Source organism: Homo sapiens, chromosome 12 (genome assembly GCF_000001405.40).
Source record: "Homo sapiens chromosome 12, GRCh38.p14 Primary Assembly".
NCBI lineage: Eukaryota > Metazoa > Chordata > Mammalia > Primates > Hominidae > Homo > Homo sapiens.
Genome location: NC_000012.12, coordinates 37655966 through 37676261, shown reverse-complemented (window position 1 = coordinate 37676261; position 20296 = coordinate 37655966). Strand labels below are relative to the sequence as shown.

General features: G+C 37.5%; 1 annotated feature.

The window, feature by feature from the left end:
* Positions 15698 to 16249: an enhancer, noted in NCBI's record as "OCT4-NANOG hESC enhancer chr12:38053815-38054366 (GRCh37/hg19 assembly coordinates)". NCBI's record gives its function as "activates a minimal SCP1, AML or CMV promoter by ChIP-STARR-seq in naive H9 embryonic stem cells {active_cell/tissue: H9 hESC(naive)}" and the evidence as "EXISTENCE:reporter gene assay evidence [ECO:0000049][PMID:30033119]".

Below are 20296 nucleotides of genomic sequence, written 5' to 3'. Positions count from 1 at the left end.
TATTTGGAGTGCCTTGAGGCCGACAGTTGAAAAGGAAATATCTTCATGTAAAAACAAGACAGAAGCCTTCTGAGAAACTTATTTGTGATGTGGGTATTCTTCTCCCAGATTGAGTAGTTTTGAAACACTCTTCTTGTAGACTCTGCAAATGGAGATTTGGAGCGCTTTGAGTCCTATGGCGGAAAAGGAAATATCTTCATATAAAAACTAAATGGAAGCATTCTGTGAAACAGCTTTGTGATGTATGCGTTCACCTCACAGAGTTGAAACTTTCTTTTGATTGAGCAGTTTTGAAACACACTTTTTGTAGAGTCTGCGAGTGGATATTTGGAGCACTTTGAGGCCTATGGTGGAAAAGGAAATATCTTCACATAAAAACTAGACAGAAGGATTCTCAGAAACTTCTTTGTTATGTGTGCACTCATCTTACAGAGTTGAACCTTTCTTCCAATTGGGCAGTTTAGAAACACTCTTTTTGTGGAATCTGCAAGTGGATATTTGGAGCGCTTTGAGGCCTGTGGCAGAGAAGGAAATATCTACATATGAAAACTAGACAGAAGCATTCTCAGAAACTTCTTTATCATGTGTGCATTCAACTCACAGAATTGAACATTTCTATTGATTGAGCAGATTGGAAACACCTTTTTGTAGTATCTGCAGATGGAAATTTGATTGCATTGAGGCCAATAGTTGAAAAGGAAATATCTTCACATAAAAACTAGACAGAAGCATTCTCAGAAACTTCTTTGTGATGTGTGCATTCATCTCACAGAGTTGACCCTTTCATTTGATTGAGCAGCTGGGAAAACCTCTTTTTGCAGAATCTGCAAGTGATATATGGAGCGCTTTGGGACCTATGGTGGAAAAGGAAATATCTTCATATAAAAACTAGACAGAAGTGTTCTCAGAAACTTCTTTGTGATGTGTGCATTGAACTCACAGAGTTGAACCTTTCTTTTGATTGAACAGTTCAGAAACAGTCTTTTTGTAATATCTGCAAATGGATATTTGGAGGCCTTTCGTGCCTGTACTTGAAAAGGAAATATCTTCAACTAAAAACTAGACAGAAGTATTCTGAGAAACTTCTTTCTGATGTGTGCATCCATCGAAAAGAGTTGAAAATTTCTTTAGATTGATCAGTTTGGAAACGTTCTTTTTGTAAAATCTGCAATTGGATGTTTGGAGCACTTTGAGTCCTAAGGTGGAAGAGGAAATATCTTCACATAAAAAGCAGACAGAAACATTCTCAGAAACTTCTTTGTGATGTGTGCATTCAACTCACAGATTTGAACCTTTCTTTGGATTGAGCAGTTTGGAAACAACTTTTTGTAGTGTCTGTAAATGGATATTTGGATCGCTTTGATGCCAGTAATTGAAAAGGAAATATCTTCACATAAAATGTAGACAGAAGAATTCTCAGAAACATTTTCTGGTGTGTGCATTCATCTCACAGAGTTGAACCTTTCTTTTGATTGATCAGTTTTGAAACACTCTTTTTGTAGAACCTGCAAGTGGATACTTGGAGCTCTTTGAAGTTAATGGTGGAAAAGGAAATATCTTCACATAAAAATTAGCCAGAAGCGTTCTCAGAAACTTCGTTGTGATGTGAGCATTCAAGTCACAGATTTGAATCTTTCTTCTGATTGAACTCTTCGGTAACAGTCTCATTGTAGTATCTGCAAATGGATATTTGGAGTGCTCTGAGGCCTATAGTTGAAAAGGAAATATCTTCACATAAAAACTAGACAGAAGCATTCTCAGAAACTTCTTTGTGATGTGTTCATTCATCTCACAGAGTTGAACCTTTCTTTTGATTGAACAGTTTAGAAACCCTCTTTTTGTAGAATCTGCAAGTGTATATTTGGAGCGCTTTGAGGCCTATGATGGAAAAGGAAATATATTCATATGAAAACTACACAGAAGCATTCTCAAAAACTTCTTTGTGACATGTGCATTCTATTCAAAGATTTGAAACTTTCTTTTGATTGAGCAGCTTGGAAACATTCTTCTTGTAGTATCTGCAAATGGATATTTGGAGTGTGTTGAGGCCTAAAGATGAAAAGGAAATATCTTCACACAAAAACTAGACAGAAGACTTCTGAGAAACTTCTTTGTGATATGTGCATTCATCTCACAGAGTTGAACATTTCTTCTGATTGAGCAGTTATGAAACAATCTTTTTGTAGAACCTGCAACTGGAGATTTGGAGCACTTTGTGGCCCATGTTTGAAAAGGAAATATTTTCACATAAAAACTAGACAGCAGCATTCTCAGAAACTTCTTTGTGATGTGTGCATTCATCTCACAGAGTTGAACCTTTCTTTTCATTGAGGAGTTTGGAAAAGCTGTTTTTGTAGTATCTGCAAATGGAAATTTGGAGCGCTTTGCGGCCTATAGCCAAAAAAGTAATATCTTCATATAAATACTAGACAGAAGCATTCTGAGAAACTTCTTTGTGATGTGTGCCTTCATCTCACGGAGTTGAACATTTCTTTTGATTGAGCAGTTTGATACACTCTTTATGTAGAATCTGCAAGTGGATATTTGCAGCACTTTGAGTCCTATGGTGGAAAAGGAAATACCTTCAAATAAAAACTAGACAGAAACATTCTAAGAAACATTTTGTGATGTGTGCATTCAACTCACAGAGTTGAACCTTTCTTTTCATTGAACAGTTTGGAAACACTCTTTTTCTAGTATATGCAGATGGATATTTGGAGCACTTTGAGGACTGTAGTTTAAAAGGAAATATTTTCACTTAAAAACTAGACAGAAGTATTCTGAGAAACTTCTTTGTGATGTTTGCATCCAAGTCACAGAGTTGAACCTTTCTTTTGATTGAGCAGTTTTGAAACACTCTTTTTGTAGTTTCTGCAAAGGTATATTTGGAGCACATTGAGATGCACAGGTGAAAAGGAGATATCTCCACATAAAAACTACACAGAAGGATTCTGAGAAACTTCTTTGTGATGTGTGCATTCATCTCAAAGAATTGAACCCTTCTTTTGATTGAGCAGTTTGGAAACACTCTTTTTGTATAATCTGCAAGTGGATATTAGGAGCGCTTTGAGGCCTTTTGTGGAAAAGGAAATATCTTCACATAAAAATTAGACAGAAACATTCTCAGAAACTTCTCTGTGATGTGTGCGTTGAACTCACAGAGTTGAACCTTTCTTTTGATTAAGCAGTTTGGAAACACTCTTTTTGTTGTATCTGCAAATGGATATTTGGAGAGCTTTGAGGCCTGTAGCTGAAATGGAAAAATCTTCACATAAATACTAGACAGAAGCATTCTGAGAAACTCCTTTGTTATGTGTGCATTCATCTCACAGAGTTGAACATTTCTTTTGATTTAGCATTTTTGAAACACTTTTTATAGAATGTACAAGTGGATATTTTCTGCGATTGCTCCCTCTAGTGGAAAATGAAATATCTTCACATACAGATTATTCAGAAATATCCTCAGAATCTTCTTCGTGATGTGTGCATTCAACTCCTAGAGTTGAACTTTTCTTTTGATTGAGCAGTTTGGAGCACTCTTTTTGTAGTGTCTGAAAATTGATATTTGGAGCGCTTTGCGGTCTATAGCTGAAAAGGAAATGTCTTCATATAAAAGCTAGACAGAATCATTCTGAGAAACTTCTTTGTGATGTGTGCGTACATCTCACAGAGATGAACTTTCTTTTGATTGAACAATTTGGAAACACTCTTTTTGTAGTATCTGTAAAAGGATATTTGGAGCAGTGTGAGGCATATAATTGAAAAGGAAATATCTCCACATAAAATGTAGACAGAGTTCTCAGAAACTGTTTCTTCTTTGTGCATTCATCTCACAGTGTTGAACCTTTCTTTTGATTGAGGAGTTTTGAAACACTCTTTTTTGTTGAATCTGCAAGTGGATATTTGGAGCCCTTTGAAGCCCATGGTGGAAAAGGAAATATCTTCACATAAAAGCTAGACAGAAGCATTTTCAGAAACTTCGTTGTGATGTGAGCTTTCAACTTACAGAGTTGAACCTTTCTTTTGATTGAACAGTTCGGAAACAGTCTCTTTGTTGTACCTGCAAATGGATATTTGGAGCGCTTAGGGGCCTATAGTTGCAAGAGAAATATCTTCACATAAAAACTAGACAGAAGCATTCTGAGAAACTTCCTTGCAATGTGTATATTCATCTCACAGAGTTGAATCTTTCTTTTAATTGAGCAGTTTAGAAACACTCTTTTTGTAGAATATGCTAATGGATATTTCAAGCGCTTTGAGGCCTATGGTGGAAAAGGAAATATCTTCACATTAAAACTGCACAGAAACATTCTCAAAAACTTCTTTGTGATGTATGCATTCAACTCAAAGACTTGAAACTTTCTTTTGATTGAGCAGTTTGGAAACACTCTTTTTGTAGTATCTGCAAATGGATATTTGGAGTGCGTTGAGGCCTAGAGTTGAAAAGGAAATATCTTCACATACAAACTAGACAGAAGCCTTCTGAGAAACTTCTTTGTGATGTGTGCATTCACCTAACAGAGTTGAACATTTCTTCTGACTGAGCAGTTTTGAAACACTCTTTTTGTAGGATCTGCAACTGGAGATTTGGAGTGCTTTGAGGCCTATGGTGGAAAAGGAAATATCTTCACAAAAAAACTCGACAGGAGCATTCTCAGAAATTTCTTTCTGATGAGTGCATTCAACGCATGGAGTTGAAACTTTCTTCTGATTCAGCAGTTTTGAAACACTCTTTTTGCAGAATCTGCAAGGGGATATTTGTAACGCTTTGAGGCCTATGGTGGAAAAGGAAACAACCTCACATAAAAACTAAAAAGAAGCATTCTGAGGAACTACTTTGTGATGTGTGCATTCAAGTCACAGAGTTGAACCTTTATTTTGATTGAGAAGTTTGGAAACTCTCTTTTTGAAGTGTCTGCAAAAGGATATTTGGAGCGCTTTGAGGCCTATAGTTGAAAAGGAAATATCTTCACTTAAAAACTAGACAGAAGCATTCTGAGAAACTTCTTTGTGATGTGTGCATTCATCCCACAGAGTTGAATATTTCTTTTGGTTGAGCAGTTTTGAAACACTCTTTTTGTAGAATCTGCAAGTGTATATTTGGAGCGCTTTGAGACCTACAGTACAAAAGGAAATATCTCCACATAAAAACTAGGCAGAAGCATTCTGAGACACTTCCTTGTGATGTGTGCATTCATCTCACAGAATTGAACCTTTCTTTTGATTGAGCAGTTTTGAAACACTGTTTTTGTAGTATATCTGCAAGTGGATATTTGGAGCGATTGCGTCCTCTATTGGCATAGGACATGTCTTCACATAAAAACTAGACAGAAACATTCTCAGAAAGTTCTTTGTGATGTGTGCATTCAACTCACAGAGTTGAACCTTTGTTTATTTTGAGCAGTTTGGAAACACTCTTTTTGTAGTATCTGGAAATGGATATTTGGAGCGCTTTGAGGCATGTAGCTGAAAAGGAAATATCTTCACATAAAAACTTGACAGAAGCATTCTGAAAAACTTCTTCATGATGCATTCATTCATCTCACAATCTTGAACCTTTCTTTTGATTGAGCAGTTTTGAAGCACTATTTTTGGAGAATCTGCAATTGGATATTTGGAGCCCTTTGTGGCCTATGGTTGTAAAAGAAATATCTTCACATAAAAACTAGACAGAAGCATTCTCAGAAACTTCCTTGTGATGTGTTCATTTAACTCACAAAGTGGAAACTTTCTTTTGATTGAGGAGTTTTGAAACACTCTTGTAGAATCTGCAAGTGGATATTTGTAGCGCTTTGAGTCCTATGGTGGAAAAGGAAATATCTTCAAATAAAAAAAAGACAGAAGCATTCTCAGAAACTTCTTTGTGATGTGTTGATTCAACTCAGAAAGTTGAACATTTCTTTTGATTGAGCAGTTTGGGAACACTCTTTTTGCAGTATCTGCAAATGGATATTTGGAGCACTTTGAGTCCTGTAGTTGAGAAAGAAATATCTTCACATAAAAACTAGACAGCAGCATTCTGAGAAAATTCTTTGTGATGTGTGCATTCCCCTCACAGGTTTGAAACTTCTTTTGATTGAGCAGTTTTGAAGCACTCTTTTTGTAGAATCTACAGATGGATGTTTCGAGCGCTTTGAGGCCTACGGTGGAAAAGGAATTATCTTTACATAAAAACTAGACAAAAGCATTCTCAGAAACTTCTTTGTGCTGTGTGCATTCATCTCAGAGTGTTGAACTTTTCTTTTGATTAAACACTTTTGAAACACTCTTTCTGTAGTATCCGCAAGTGGATATTTGGAGTGCTTTGAGGACTATGGTGGAAAAGGAAATATCTCCACCTAAAACCAGACGGAAGGATACTGAGAAACTTCTTTGTGAAGAGTGCTTTCATCTCACAGAGTTGAACCTTTCTTCTGTTGAGCAGTTTTGACACGCTCTTTTTGTACAGTCTGCAAGTGGATATTTGGAGCGCTTTGAGGCCTATGGTTAGAAAGGAAATATCTTCACATAAAAACTAGACAGAAGCATACTCAGAAACTTCTTTGCAATGTGTGCATTTAACTCACAGAGTTGAACCTTCATTTTGATTGAGAAGTTTGGAAACACTGTTTTTGTAGTATCTGCAAATGTATATTTGGATTGCTTTCCAGCCTATTCTTGAAAAGGAAATATCTTCACATAAAAACTAGACAGAAGCATTCTGAGAAACCTCTTTGTGATGTGTGCATTCATTTCACAAAGTTCAACTTTTTTTTGATTGAGCAGTTTTGAAACACTCTTTTTGTAGAATCTGCATGTGGCTATTTGGAGCGCTTTGTGTCTATGGTGGAAAGGGAGTATCTTCACATAAAACCTAGATGGAAGAATTCTCAGAAACTTTTTGTGATGTGTGCATTCACCTCACAGAATTGATCGTCTCTTTTGCATTGAGCAGTTTGGAAACTCTCTTTTTGTGGTATCTGAAAATGGATATTTGGAGCGCTTTGAGGCCTATAGTTGAAAAGGAAATATATTCACATAAATGTAGACAGAGGCATTCTGAGAAACTTCTTTGTGATGTGTGCATTCCTCTCACAGAGTTGAACCTTTCTTTTGTTTGAGCAGCTTTGAAACACTGTTTTTGTAGAATCTGCAATTGGATATTTGGAGCGCTTTGAGGCCTATGGTGGAAAAGGAAATATCTTCACATAAATACTAGACAGAAGCATTCTCAGATACTTGTTTGTGATGTGTGCATTCGACTCACAGAGTTGAACGTTTCTTTTGATTGAGCAGTTTGGAAACAAACTTTTTGTGGAATCTGAAAATGGATATTTGGAGTGCTTTGAAGCCTATAGCTGAAAAGGGAATATCTTCACATAAAAACTAGACAGAAGGATCCTGAGAAAGTTTTTTGTGATGTGTGTATTCAACTCACAGAGTTAAAAATTTATTTTGATTGAGCAGTTTTGAAACACTCTTTTTGTAGAATCTGTAATTGGATATTTGGAGAGATTGCGGCCTCTGGTGGAAGAGGAAATATCTTCACATAAAAACTAGACAAAAGCATTCTCAGAAAGTTCTTTGTGATGTGTGCATTCAACTCTCAGAGTTGAGCCTTTCTTTTGATTGAGCAGTTTGGAAACACTGTTTTTGTACTATCTGCAAATGGATATTAGGATCGCTTTGAGGCCTATAGCTGAAAAGGAAATATCCTCACACAAAAACTAAAAAGAAGCATTCTGAGTAACTTCTTTGTGATGTGTGCATTCATCTCACAGAGTTGAACCTTTCTTTTTATTGAGCAGTTTTGAAACACACTTTTTGTAGAATCTGCACATGGATATTTGGAACGACTGCATTCTCTATTGGCAAAGGAAATATCTTCAGATAAAAACTAGAGAGAAGTATTCTCAGAAACCCCTTTGTGATGTGTGCATTCAACCCACAGGGTTGAATCTTTGTTTTGATTGAGCAGTTTGGAAAAACTCTTTTTGTTGTATCTGCAAGTGGATATTTGGAGTGCCTTGAGGCCTATACCTGAAAAGGAAATATCTTCACATAAAAACCAAAGAGAAGCATTCTGAGAATCCTCCTTGTGATGTATGCATTCATCACACAGAATCGAAAATTTATTTTGATTGAGCAGTTTTGAAACACTCTTTTTTGTGGAATCTGCAAGTGAATATTTGGAGGGCTTTAGGCCTACCTTAGAATAGCAAATATCTTCACATAAAAACTCGACAGATACATTCTCAGAAACTTCTTTGTGATGGGTGCATTCAACTCACCAAGTTGAAACTTTCTTTTGATTAAGCAGTTTGTTAACACTCTTTTTCTAGTATCTGAAAATTGATATTTGGTGTGCTTTGAGGCCTGTAGCTGAAAACGAAATATCTTCACATAAAAACTAGGTAGAAGCATTCTGAGAAACTTCTTTGTGATGTGTGCATTCGTCTCACAGAGTTGAACCTTTCTTTTATTGAGCAGTGTTGAAATACACTTTTTGTATAATCTGCAAGTGTATATTTGGAGAGCTTTGAGGCCTATGTTGGGATAGGAAATATCTTCACAAAAAAACTAGACAGAACCATTCTCAGAAACATCTTTGTGATGTGTGCTTTGAAATCACAGAGTTGAACCTTTCTTTTGATTGAGCAGTTTCAAAACACTCTTTTTTGGAGTACCTGCAAATGGATATTATAGCGCTTTGAGGCCTGTAGTTGAAAAGTAAATATCTTCAAATAAAAACTAGACAAAAACATTCTGAGAAACTTCTTTTTGATGTGTGCAGTCATCTCACAGCGCTAAACCTTTCTTTTGATTGAGCAGTTTAGAAACACCCTTTTTGTAAAATCTGCATGGGAATATTTGGAGCCCTTTGAGGTCTATGGTGTAAAAGGAAATATCTTCACATAAAAACTAGACAGAAGCATTCTCAGAAACTTATTTTTGATGTGTGCATTCAAGTCACTGTGTTGAAACTTTCTTCTGATTGTGCAGTTTGGAAACACTATTTTGTAATATCTGCAAATGAATATTTGGGGTGCTTTGAGGTTTATAGATGAAAAGGAAATATCTTCACATAAAAAGTAGACAGAAGCATTCTCAGAAACTCAGAATGTTTCCAAACTGCTCAAAGAAAGGTACAAATCTGTGAGATGAATGCACATATTGCAAAGAAGTTTCTCAGAATGCTTCTGTGAAATTTTATATGAAGACATTTCCTTTTCCACCATAGGCATCAGACCGTTCCACATATCCACTTGCAGATTCTACAAAACGAGTGTTTCAAAAGTCCTCAATCAAAAGGAAGGTTCAACTCTGTGAGACAAATGCACACGTCACAAAGAACTTTCTCAGAATGCTTTTGTGTAGTTTTTATGTGAAGATATTTCCTTTCCATAATAAGCATCAAGTCCCTCCAAATATCCACTTGCAGATGCTACAAAAAGAGTGTTTGAAAACTCCTGAATCATAAGAAAGTTTCAACTCTGTGAGACAAATGCACACATCACAAAGAAGTTTCTCAGAGGGGGTCTGGAGCCATGGTGGCTGAATAGGAACAACTCCGATCTATGGCTACCAGTGTGAGTGATGCAGAAGACGGGTGATTTCTGCATTTCCATCTGAGGTACCGGGCTCATCTCACTAGGTAGTGCCAGACAGTGGGTGCAGGTCGGTGGGTGAAGCGCACCATGCGTGAGCCGAAGAAGGGCGAAGCATTGTCTCACTCAGGAAGTGCAAGGGGACAGGGAATTCTCTCTCCTAGTCAAAGAATGGGGTGACAGAGGGCACCTGGAAATTCGGGTCACTCCAACCGTAATACTGCGCTTTTCCAATGGGGTTAAAAAACGGTGCACCAGGGGATTATATCCTGCACCTGTCTCGGGGAGTCCTATACCCACGGAGTCTTGCTGATTGCTAGCACAGCAGTCTGAGATCAAATTGCAAGGCGGCAGCGAGGCTGTGGGAGGGGAGCCCACCATTGGCCAGGCTTGCTTAGGTAAACAAAGCAGCAAGGAAGCTCGAACTGGGTGGAACCCACCACAGCTCAAGTAGGCCTGTCTGTCTCTTTACGCTCCACCTCTGGGGGCAGGGCACAGACAAACAAAAAGACAGCAGTAACCTCTGCAGACTTAAATGTCCCTGTCTGACAGCTTTGGAAAGAGCAGTGTTTCTCCCAGCACTCAGCTGGAGATCTGAGAACAGGCAGACTGTCTCCTCAAGTGAGTACCTGACCCCTGACCCCCGAACAGCCTAACTGGGAGGCACCCCTCAGTAGGGGCAGACTGACACATCACACGGCCGGGTACTCCTCTGAGACAAAACTTCCAGAGGAACGATCAGACAGCAGCATTCACGGTTCACGAAAATCTGCTGTTCTGCAGCCACTTCTGCTGGTACCCAGGAAAACAGGGTCTGGAATGGACCTCTAGCAAACTCCAACACACCTGCAGCTGAGGGTCCTGTCTGTTAGAAGGAAAACTAACAAACAGAAAGGACATCCACATCTATAACCTATCTGTACATCACCATCATCAAAGACCAAAAGTAGATAAAACCACAAAGATGGCAAAAAAACAGAGCAGAAAAACTGGAAACTCTAAAAAGCAGAGTGCCTCTCCTTTCCCAAAGGAACACAGCTCCTCACCAGCAATGCAACAAAGCTGGATGGAGAATGACTTTAACGAGTTGAGAGAAGAAGGCTTCAGATGATCAAACTACTCCAAGCTAAAGGAGGAAATTCAAACCAAAGGCAAAAAAGTTGAAAACTTTGAAAAAAATTTAGACGAATGTATAACTAGAATAACCAATACAGAGAAGTGCTTAAAGGAGCTGATGGAGCTGAAAGTCAAGGCTCGAGAACTACATGAAGAATGCAGAAGTCTTAGGAGCCAATGCAATCAACTGGAAGAAAGGGTATCAGTGATGGAAGACGAAATGAATGAAATGAAGCAAGAAGGGAAGTTAAGAGAAAAAGGAATGAAAAGAAACAAACAAAGCCTCCAAGAAATATGGTACTGAGTGAAAAGACCAAATCTACATCTGATTGGTGTACATGAAACTGAAGGGGAGAATGGAACCAAGTTGGAAAACACTCTGCGGGATGTTATCCAGGAGAACTGCCCCAATCTAGAAAGGCAGGCCAACATCCAGATTCAGGAAATACAGAGAATGCCACAAAGATACTCCTCGAGTAGAGCAACTCCAAGACATATCATTGTCCGATTCACCAAAGTTGAAATGAAGGAAAAAATGTTAAGGGCAGCCAGAGAGAAAGATTGGGTTACCCACAAAGGGAAGCCCATCAGACTAACAGAGGATCTCTCGGCAGAAACTCTACAAGCCAGAAGAGAGTGGGGGCGAATATTCAACATTCTTAAAGAAAAGAATTTTCAACCCAGAATTTCAGACCCAGCCAAACTCAGCTTCACAAGTGAAGGAGAAATAAAATACTTTACAGACAAGCAAATGCTGAGAGATTTTGTCACCACCAGGCCTGCCCAAAAAGAGCTCCTGAAAGAAGCACTAAACATGGAAAGGAACAACCGGTACCAGCCACTGCCAATAATGCCAAATTATAAAAACCATCAAGGCTAGGAAGAAAATGCATCAACTAATGAGCAATATAACCAGCTAACATCATCGTGACAGGATCAAATTCACACATAACAATATTAACTTTAAATGTAAATGGAGTAAATGCTCCAATTAAAAGACACAGACTGGCAAATTGAACAATGAGTCAAGACCCATCAGTGTGCTGTATTCAGGAAACCCATCTCACGTGCAGAGACACATATAGGCTCAAAATAAAAGGATGGAGGAAGATCTACCAAGCAAATGGAAAACAAAAAAAAGGCAGGGGTTGCAATACTAGTCTCTGATAAAACAGACTTTAAATCAAGAAAGATCAAAAGAGACAAAGAAGGCCATTACATAATGGTAAAGGGATCAATTCAATAAGAAGAGCTAACTATCCTAAATATATATGCACCCAATACAGGAGCACGTAGATTCACAAAGCAAGTCCTGAGTGACCTACAAAGAGACTTAGACTCCCACACAATAATAATGGGAGACTTTAACACCCCACTGTCAGCATTAGACAGATCAATGAGACAGAAAGTTAACAAGGATACCCAGGAATTGAACTCAGCTCTGCACCAAGTGGACCTAATAGACATCTACAGAACTCTCCACCCCAAATCAACAGAATATACATTTTTTTCAGCACCACACCACACCTATTCCAAAATTGACCACATACTTGAAAGTAAAGCTCTCCTCAGCAAATGTAAAAGATCAGAAATTATAACTAACTGTCTCTCAGACCACAGTGCAATCAAACTAGACCTTAGGATTAAGAAACTCACTCAAAAGTGCTCAACTACATGGAAACTGAACAACTTGCTCCTGCATAACTACTGGATACATAACGAAATGAAGGCAGAAATAAAGATGTTTTTTGAAACCAATGAGAACAAAGACACAACATACCAGAATCTCTGGGATGCATTCAAAGCAGTGTGTAGAGGGAAATTTATAGCACTAAACGCCCACAAGAGAAAGCAGGAAAGATCTAAAATTGACACCATAACATCACAATTAAAAGAACTAGAAAAGCAAGAGCAAACACATTCAAAAGCTAGCAGAAGGCAAAAAAAATAACTAAAATCAGAGCAGAACTGAAGGAAATAGAGACACAAAAAACCCTTCAAAAAATTAATGAATCCAGGAGCTGGTTTTTTGAAAGGATCAACAAAATTGATAGATCGCTAGCAAGACTAATAAAGAAGAAAAGAGAGGAGAATCAAATAGATGCAATAAAAAATGATAAAGGGGATATCACCACCGATCCCACAGAAATACAAACTACCATCCGAGAATACTACAAACACCTCTACGCAAATAAACTAGAAAATCTAGAAAAAATGGATAAATTCTTCAACACATACACTCTCCCAAGACTAAATCAGGAAGAAGTTGAATCTGTGAATAGACCAATAACAGGATCTGAAATTGTGGCAATAATCAATAGCTTATCAACCAAAAAGAGTCCAGGACCAGATGGATTTACAGCCGAATTCTACCAGAGGTACAAAGAGGAACTGGTACCATTCCTTCTGAGACTATTCCAAACAATAGAAAAAGAGGGAATCCTGCCTCACTCATTTTATGAGGCCAGCATCATCCTGATACCAAAGCCAGGCAGAGACACAATAAAAACAGAGAATTTTAGACCAATATCCTTGATGAACATTGATGCAGAAATCCTCAATAAAATACTGGCAAACCGAATCCAGCAGCACATCAAAAAGCTTATCCACCATGATCAAGTGGGCTTCATCCCTGGGTTGCAAGGCTGGTTTAATATACACAAATCAATAAATGTAATCCAGCATATAAACAGAACCAAAGACAAAAACAAAATAATAATATCAATAGATGCAGAAAAGGCCTTTGACAAAATTCAACAACTCTTCATGCTAAAAACTCTCAATAAATTAGGTATTGATGGGATGTATCTCAAAATATTAAGAGCTATCTATTACAAACCCACAGCCAATATCATACTGAATGGGCAAAAACTGGAAGCATTCCCTTTGAAAACGGGCACAAGACAGGGATGCCCCCTCTCACCACTCCTATTCAACATAGTGTTGGAAGTTCTGGCCAGGGCAATCAGGCAGGAGAAGGAAATAAAGGGCATTCAATTCGGAAAAGAGGAAGTCTACACAACTGCTTCAAAGAGAATAAAATACCTAGGAATCCAACTTACAAGGGACGTGAAGAACCTCTTCAAGGAGAACTACAAACTACTGCTCAATGAAATAAAAGAGGATACAAACAAATGGAAGAACATTCCATGCTCATGGGTAGGAAGAATCAATATCGTGGAAATGGTCATACTGCCCAAGGTAATTTATAGATTCAATGCCATCCCCATCAAGCTACCAATGACTTTCTTCACAGAATTGGAAAAAACTACTTTAAAGTTCATATGGAACCAAAAAAGAGCACGTATCTCCCAGCCAATTCTAAGCCAAAAGAAAAAAGCTGGAGGCATCATGCTACCTGACTTCAAACTATACTACAAGGCTACAGTAACCAAAACACCATGGTACTGGTACCAAAACAGAGATATAGTTCAATGGAACAGAACAGAGCCCTCAGGAATAATGCCACATATCTACAACTATCTGATCTTTGACAAACTTGAGAAAAACAAGGAATGGGGAAAGGATTCCCTATTTAATGAATGGTGCTGGGAAAAGTGGCTAGCCATATGTAGAAAGCTGAAACTGGATCCCTTTCTTACACCTTATATAAAAATTAATTCAAGATGGATTAAAGACTTACATGTTAGACCTAAAACCATAAAAACCCTAGAAGAAAACCTGGGCATTACCATTCAAGGCATAGGCATGGACAAGGACTTCATGTCTAAAACACCAAAAGCAATAGCAACAAAACCCAAAATTGACAAATGGGATCTAATTAAACTAAAGAGCTTCTGCACAGCAAAAGAAGCTACCATCAGAGTGAACAGACAACCTACAAACGGAAGAAAATTTTCGCAACCTACTCTTCTGACAAAGGGCTAATATCCAGAATCTACAATGAATTCAAACAAATTTACAAGAAAACAACAAACAACCCCATCAAAAAGTGGGCAAAGGACATGAAAAGACACTTCTCAAGGGAAGACATTTATGCAGGCAAAAAACACATGAAAAAATGCTCACCATCACTGCCCATTAGATAAATGCAAATCAAAACCACAATGAGATACCATCTCACACCAGTTAGAATGGCAATCATTAAAAAATCAGGAAACAACAGGTGTTGGAGACGATGTAGAGAGATAGGAACATTTCTACACTGTTGGTGGGACTGTAAACTAGTTCAACCATTGTGGAAGTCAGTGTGGGGATTCATCAGGGATCTAGAACTAGAAATACCATTTGACCCAGCCATCCCATTACTGGGTATATACCCAAAGGACTATAAATCGTGCTGCTATAAAGACACTTGCACACGTATGTTTACTGTGGCACTATTCACAATAGCAAAGACTTGGAACGAACCCAAATGTTCAACAATGATAGACTGGATTAAGAAAATGTGGCACATATGACCGATGGAATACTATGCAGCCATAAAAAAATGATGAGTTCATGTCCTTTTTAGGGACATTGATGAAATTGGAAATCATCATTCTCAGTAAACTATCACAAGAACAAAAAACCAAACACCGCATCTTCTCACTCACAGGTGAGAACTGAACAATGAGAACTCATGGACACAGGAAGGGGAACTTCACACTCTGGGGACGATTGTGGGGTGGGGGGAGGGGGGAGGGATAGCTATAGGAGATATACCTAATGCTAAATCACGAGTTAATAGATGCAGCACACCAACATGTCATATGTCTACATATGTAACTAACCTGCACATTGTGCACATGTACACTAAAACTTAAGGTATAATAATAATAAAATAAAAAAAAAATAACTTTCTCAGAATGCTTCTGTGCAGTTTTTTTGTGAAGATATTCCCTTTTCCATCATAGGCCTCAAAGCGCTCCAAATATCCACTTGCTGATTCTACAAAAAGAGTGTTTCAAAACAGCTCAATCAAAAGAAAGATTCAACACCATGAGATTAATGCACACATCACAAAGAAGTTTCTCAGAATGCTTCTGTGTAATTTTAATGTGCAGATATTTCCATTTCCACAATAGGTCTCAAAGCGCTCCAAATATCCACTTGGAGATTCTACAAAAAGATTGTTTCAAAACTGCTCAATCAAAAGAAAGATTCAACTCTGTGAGATGAATGCACACAACACAAAGAAGTTTCTGAGAATGCTTCTGTGTAGTTTTTATGTGAAGATATTTCCTTTTCCAACACAGGACTCAAAGCGTTGCAAATATCCACCTGCAGATTCTACAAAAAGAGTGTTTCCAAACTGCTCAATCAAAAGAAACATTCAACTCTGTGAGATTAATGCACAAATCACAAAGAAGTTTCTCGGAATGCTTCTGTGTAGCTTTTATATGAAGATATTTCCTTTCCCACAATAGACCTCAAAGTGCTGCAAATATCCACTTGCAGATTCTCCAAATAGAGTGTTTCAAAACTGCTGAACCAAAAGAAAGGTTCAACTCTGTCAGATGAATGCAAACATCACAAAGAAGTTTCTCAGAATGGTTGCATGTAGTTTTTATGTGAAGATATTTCCTTTTCCACCATAGACCTCAATTCGCTCCAAATATCCACTTGGAGACTCTAAAAAGAGAGTGTTTCCAAACTACTCAATCAAAAGAGAGGTTCAACTCTGTGAGATGAATGCACACATGGCAAATAAGTTTCTCAGACTGCTTCTGCATAGTTTTTATATGAAGATATTTCCTTTTCCACCATAGACCTGGAAGCGCTCCAAATATTCACTTGCAGATTCTACAAAAAGAGTGTTTCCAAACTGCCAATCAAAAGAAAGATTGAAATCTGTGAGGTGAATGCACACATCTCAAACAAGTTTCTCAGAATGCTTCTGTGTAGTTTTTATCTGAAGATATTTCCTTTTCCACAATAGGCCTCAAAGTGCTCCAAATATCCACTTGCAGATTCTTCAAAAAGTGTGTTTCCAAACTGCTAAATTAAAAGAAATTTTCTACTCTATGAGATGAATGCACACATCTCAAATCAGTTTCTCAGAATGCTTCAGTGTAGTTTTTATGTGAAGATATTTACTTTTCCAAAATGGGCCTCAAAGAGCTCAATGTATTCACTGCAGATTCTACAAAAAGAGTGTTTCAGAACTGCTCAATCAAAAGCAAGGTTCACCTCTGTGAGATGAATGCACACATCACAAAGAAGTTTCTCATAATGCTTTTATGTAGTTTTCATGTGAAGATATTTCCTTATCTACCACAGGCCACAAAGCGCTCTAAATATCCACATGCAAATCCTACAAAAAGAGGGTTTCAAAACAGCTCAATCAAAAGAAAGTTTTAACTCTGTGAGATGAATACACACATCACAAAGAAGTTTCTCAGAATGCATCTGTGTAATTATTATGTGAAGATATTTCCTTTTCCACAGTAGGCCTCAAAGTGCCCCAAATATCCACTTGCAGATTCTACAAAAACAGTGTTTCAAAACTGCTCAATTCAAAGAAAGGATCAACTCTGTGAGATGAATGCACACATCACAAAGAAGTTTATCAGAATGCTTCTGTGTAGTTTTTATATGAAAATATTTCGTTTTCCACCATAGGCGTCAAAGAGTGCCAAATATCCACTTACAGATTATACAAAAAGAGAGTTTCAAAACTCCTCAAGCCATAGATAGGTTCAGCTCTGTGAGTTGAATGCACACATTGCAAAGCAGTTTGTCAGAAAGTTTCTTTGTAGTTTTTATGTGAAGATATTTCCTTTCCCACCATAGTCCCCAGAGCGCTCCAAATATCCTCTTGCGGATTCTATAATAAGAGTGTTTTCAAACTGCTCAATGAAATGAAAGATTCAACTCTGTGAGATAAATGGACACATCACAAAGAAGTTTCTCAGAATGCTTCTGTGAAGTTTTTCAGTGAAGATATTTCCTTTTAAACAATAGGCCTCAAAGCGCTCCAAATATCCAGCTGCAGATTCTAGAAAAAGGGTGTTTCAAAATTGCTCAATCAAAGGAAAATTTCAACCCTGTGAGATGAATGCACACGTCACAAAGAAGTTTCACAGAATGCTTCTGTGTAGTTTCTATGTGAAGATATTTCCTTTTACACAGTAGGCCTCAAAGTGCTCCAAATGTCCACTTACAGATTCTACAAAAAGAGTGTTTCAAAACTACTCAAACAAAAGAAAGGTTCAACTCTGTGAGATGAATGCACCCATAACAAAGAAGTTTCTCAGAATGCTTCTGTGCATTTTTTATGTGAAGATATTTCCTTTTCCACCATAGGCTGCAAAGGACTCAAATAACCACTTGCAGATTCTACAAAAAAGGATTTTGCAATTGCTCAATCAAAAGATACGTTCGACACTGTGAGTTGAATGCACACATCACAAAGAAGTTTCTCAGAATGGTTCTGTGTAGTTTTTATGTGAAGATATTTCTTTTTCCACCATGGGCCTCAAACGCACCAAATATCCACCTGAAAATTCTACAAAGAGAGTATTTCCAAACTGCTCAATTAAAAAGAAAGGTTCAACTCGGTGAGATGAATGCACACATCGCAAAGAATTTCCTTAGAATGCTTCTGTGTCGTTCTTATGTGAAGATATTACCTTTTCAAAAATATGACACAAAGTGCTCCAAATATCCACTTGCAGACACAACAAAAAGAGAGATACCAAATTGCTCAATTGAAAGATAGGTTCAACTCTGTGAGTTGAAGGCACATATCACAAAGAAGTTTCTCAGAATGCTTCTGTACAGTTTTTATGTGAAGAAATTTCGTTTGCCACCATAGGCCTCAAACCGCTCCAAATATCCACTTGCAGATTCTACAAAAAGAGTGTTTCCAATCTGCCTAATCAAAAGAGTAATTCACCTCTGTGAAATGAATGCACACATCGGAAAAAAGTTTCTCAGAATGCTTCCGTGTAGTTTTCATGTGAAGATATTTTCTTTTCCACCATAGGCCTCAAAGCATTCCAAATATCCACTTGCAGATTTTATAAAAAGAGAGTTTCAAAACTGCTCTGTCAAAAGTTAGGTTCAACTCTGTAAGATGAATGCCCACATTATGAAGAAGTTTCTCAGAATGCTTCTGTGTAGTTTTTATGTGAAGATATTTACTTTTCCACCGTAGGTCTCAAAGCGCTGCAAATATCCACTTGCAGATTCTACAAAAAGAGCATTACCAAAGTACTGAATGAAAAGAAAGGTTCAACTCTGTGAGATTAATGACCACATCACAAATAAGTTTCTCAAAATGCTTCTTTGTAGTTTTTATGTGAGGATATTTTCCTTTCCAAAATAGGCCACAAAGGGCTCCAAATATTCACTTGCAGATTCTACAGAAAGAGAGATTCAAAACTGTTCAAACAAAGATAGGTTCAACTCTGTGAGTTGAATGCACACATCACAAGGAAGTTACCCAGAATGCATCTGTGTAGTTTTTATGTGAAGATATTTCCTTTTTCCGCAATAGGCCTCAAATCGCTCCAAATATCCACTTACAGATTCTACAAAAAGAGTGTTTCAAAACTACTCAATCAAAAGAAAGGTTCAAGTCTGTGAGACGAATGCACTCATCAGAAAGTAGTTTCTCAGAATGCTTCTGTGTAGTTTTTATGTGAAGATATTTGCTTTTCCACAGTAGGCCTCAAAGCGCTACAAATATCCACTTGCAGATTCTACAAAAACAGTGTTTCAAAACTGCTAAATCAAAAGATAGGTTCAACTCTGTGAGTTGAATGCACACATAACAAAGAAGTATCTCAAATTGCTTCTGTGCAGTTTTTATGTGAAGATATTTCCTTTTCCAAAATAGGCCTCAAAACACTCCAAATATCGACTTCCAGATACTACAAAAAGACTGTTTCAAAACTGCTTAATCAAAAGAAAGGTTCAACTCTGTTTGATGAATGCACTCATCACAAAGAAGTTTCTCATAATCCTTATGTGTAGCTTTTATTTGAAGATATTTCCTTTTACACCATAGGGTGAAAATGGCTCCAAATATCCACTTGCAGATTCTACAAAAAGAGAGATGCAAAAGAGCTCAATCAAAAGATAGGTACAACTCTATGCGTTGAATGCACACATCACAAAGAAGTTTCTCAGAATGCTTTTGTGTATTTTTTATGTGAAGATAATTCCTTTTCCACAGTAGTCCACAAATCGCTCCAAATATCCACCTGCAGATTTTACAAAAAGAGTGTTTCAAAACTGCTCAATCAAAAGAAAGTTTCAACTCTGTGAGATGAATGCACACATCACAAAGAAGTTTCTCTAAATGCTTCTGTGTAGTTTTTATTTGAAGATATTTCTTTTTCCACCATAGGTCGCAAACGGCTCCAAATGTCCAATGGCAGATTCTGCAAAAAAAGACATTAAAAACTGCTCAATCAAAAGATAGATTCAACTCTGTGAGATGAATGCAATCATCACAAAGAAGTTTCTCAGAATGCTTCTGTGTAGTTTTTATGTGAAGATATTTCCTTTTCCACAAAAGGCCTCAAAGTGCTCCAAATATTCACTTGCAGATACTACAAAAAGAGTGTTTCAAAACTGCTCAATCATAAGATAGGTTCAACCCTGTGAGTTGAATGCGCACATCACAAAGAAGTTTATCAGAA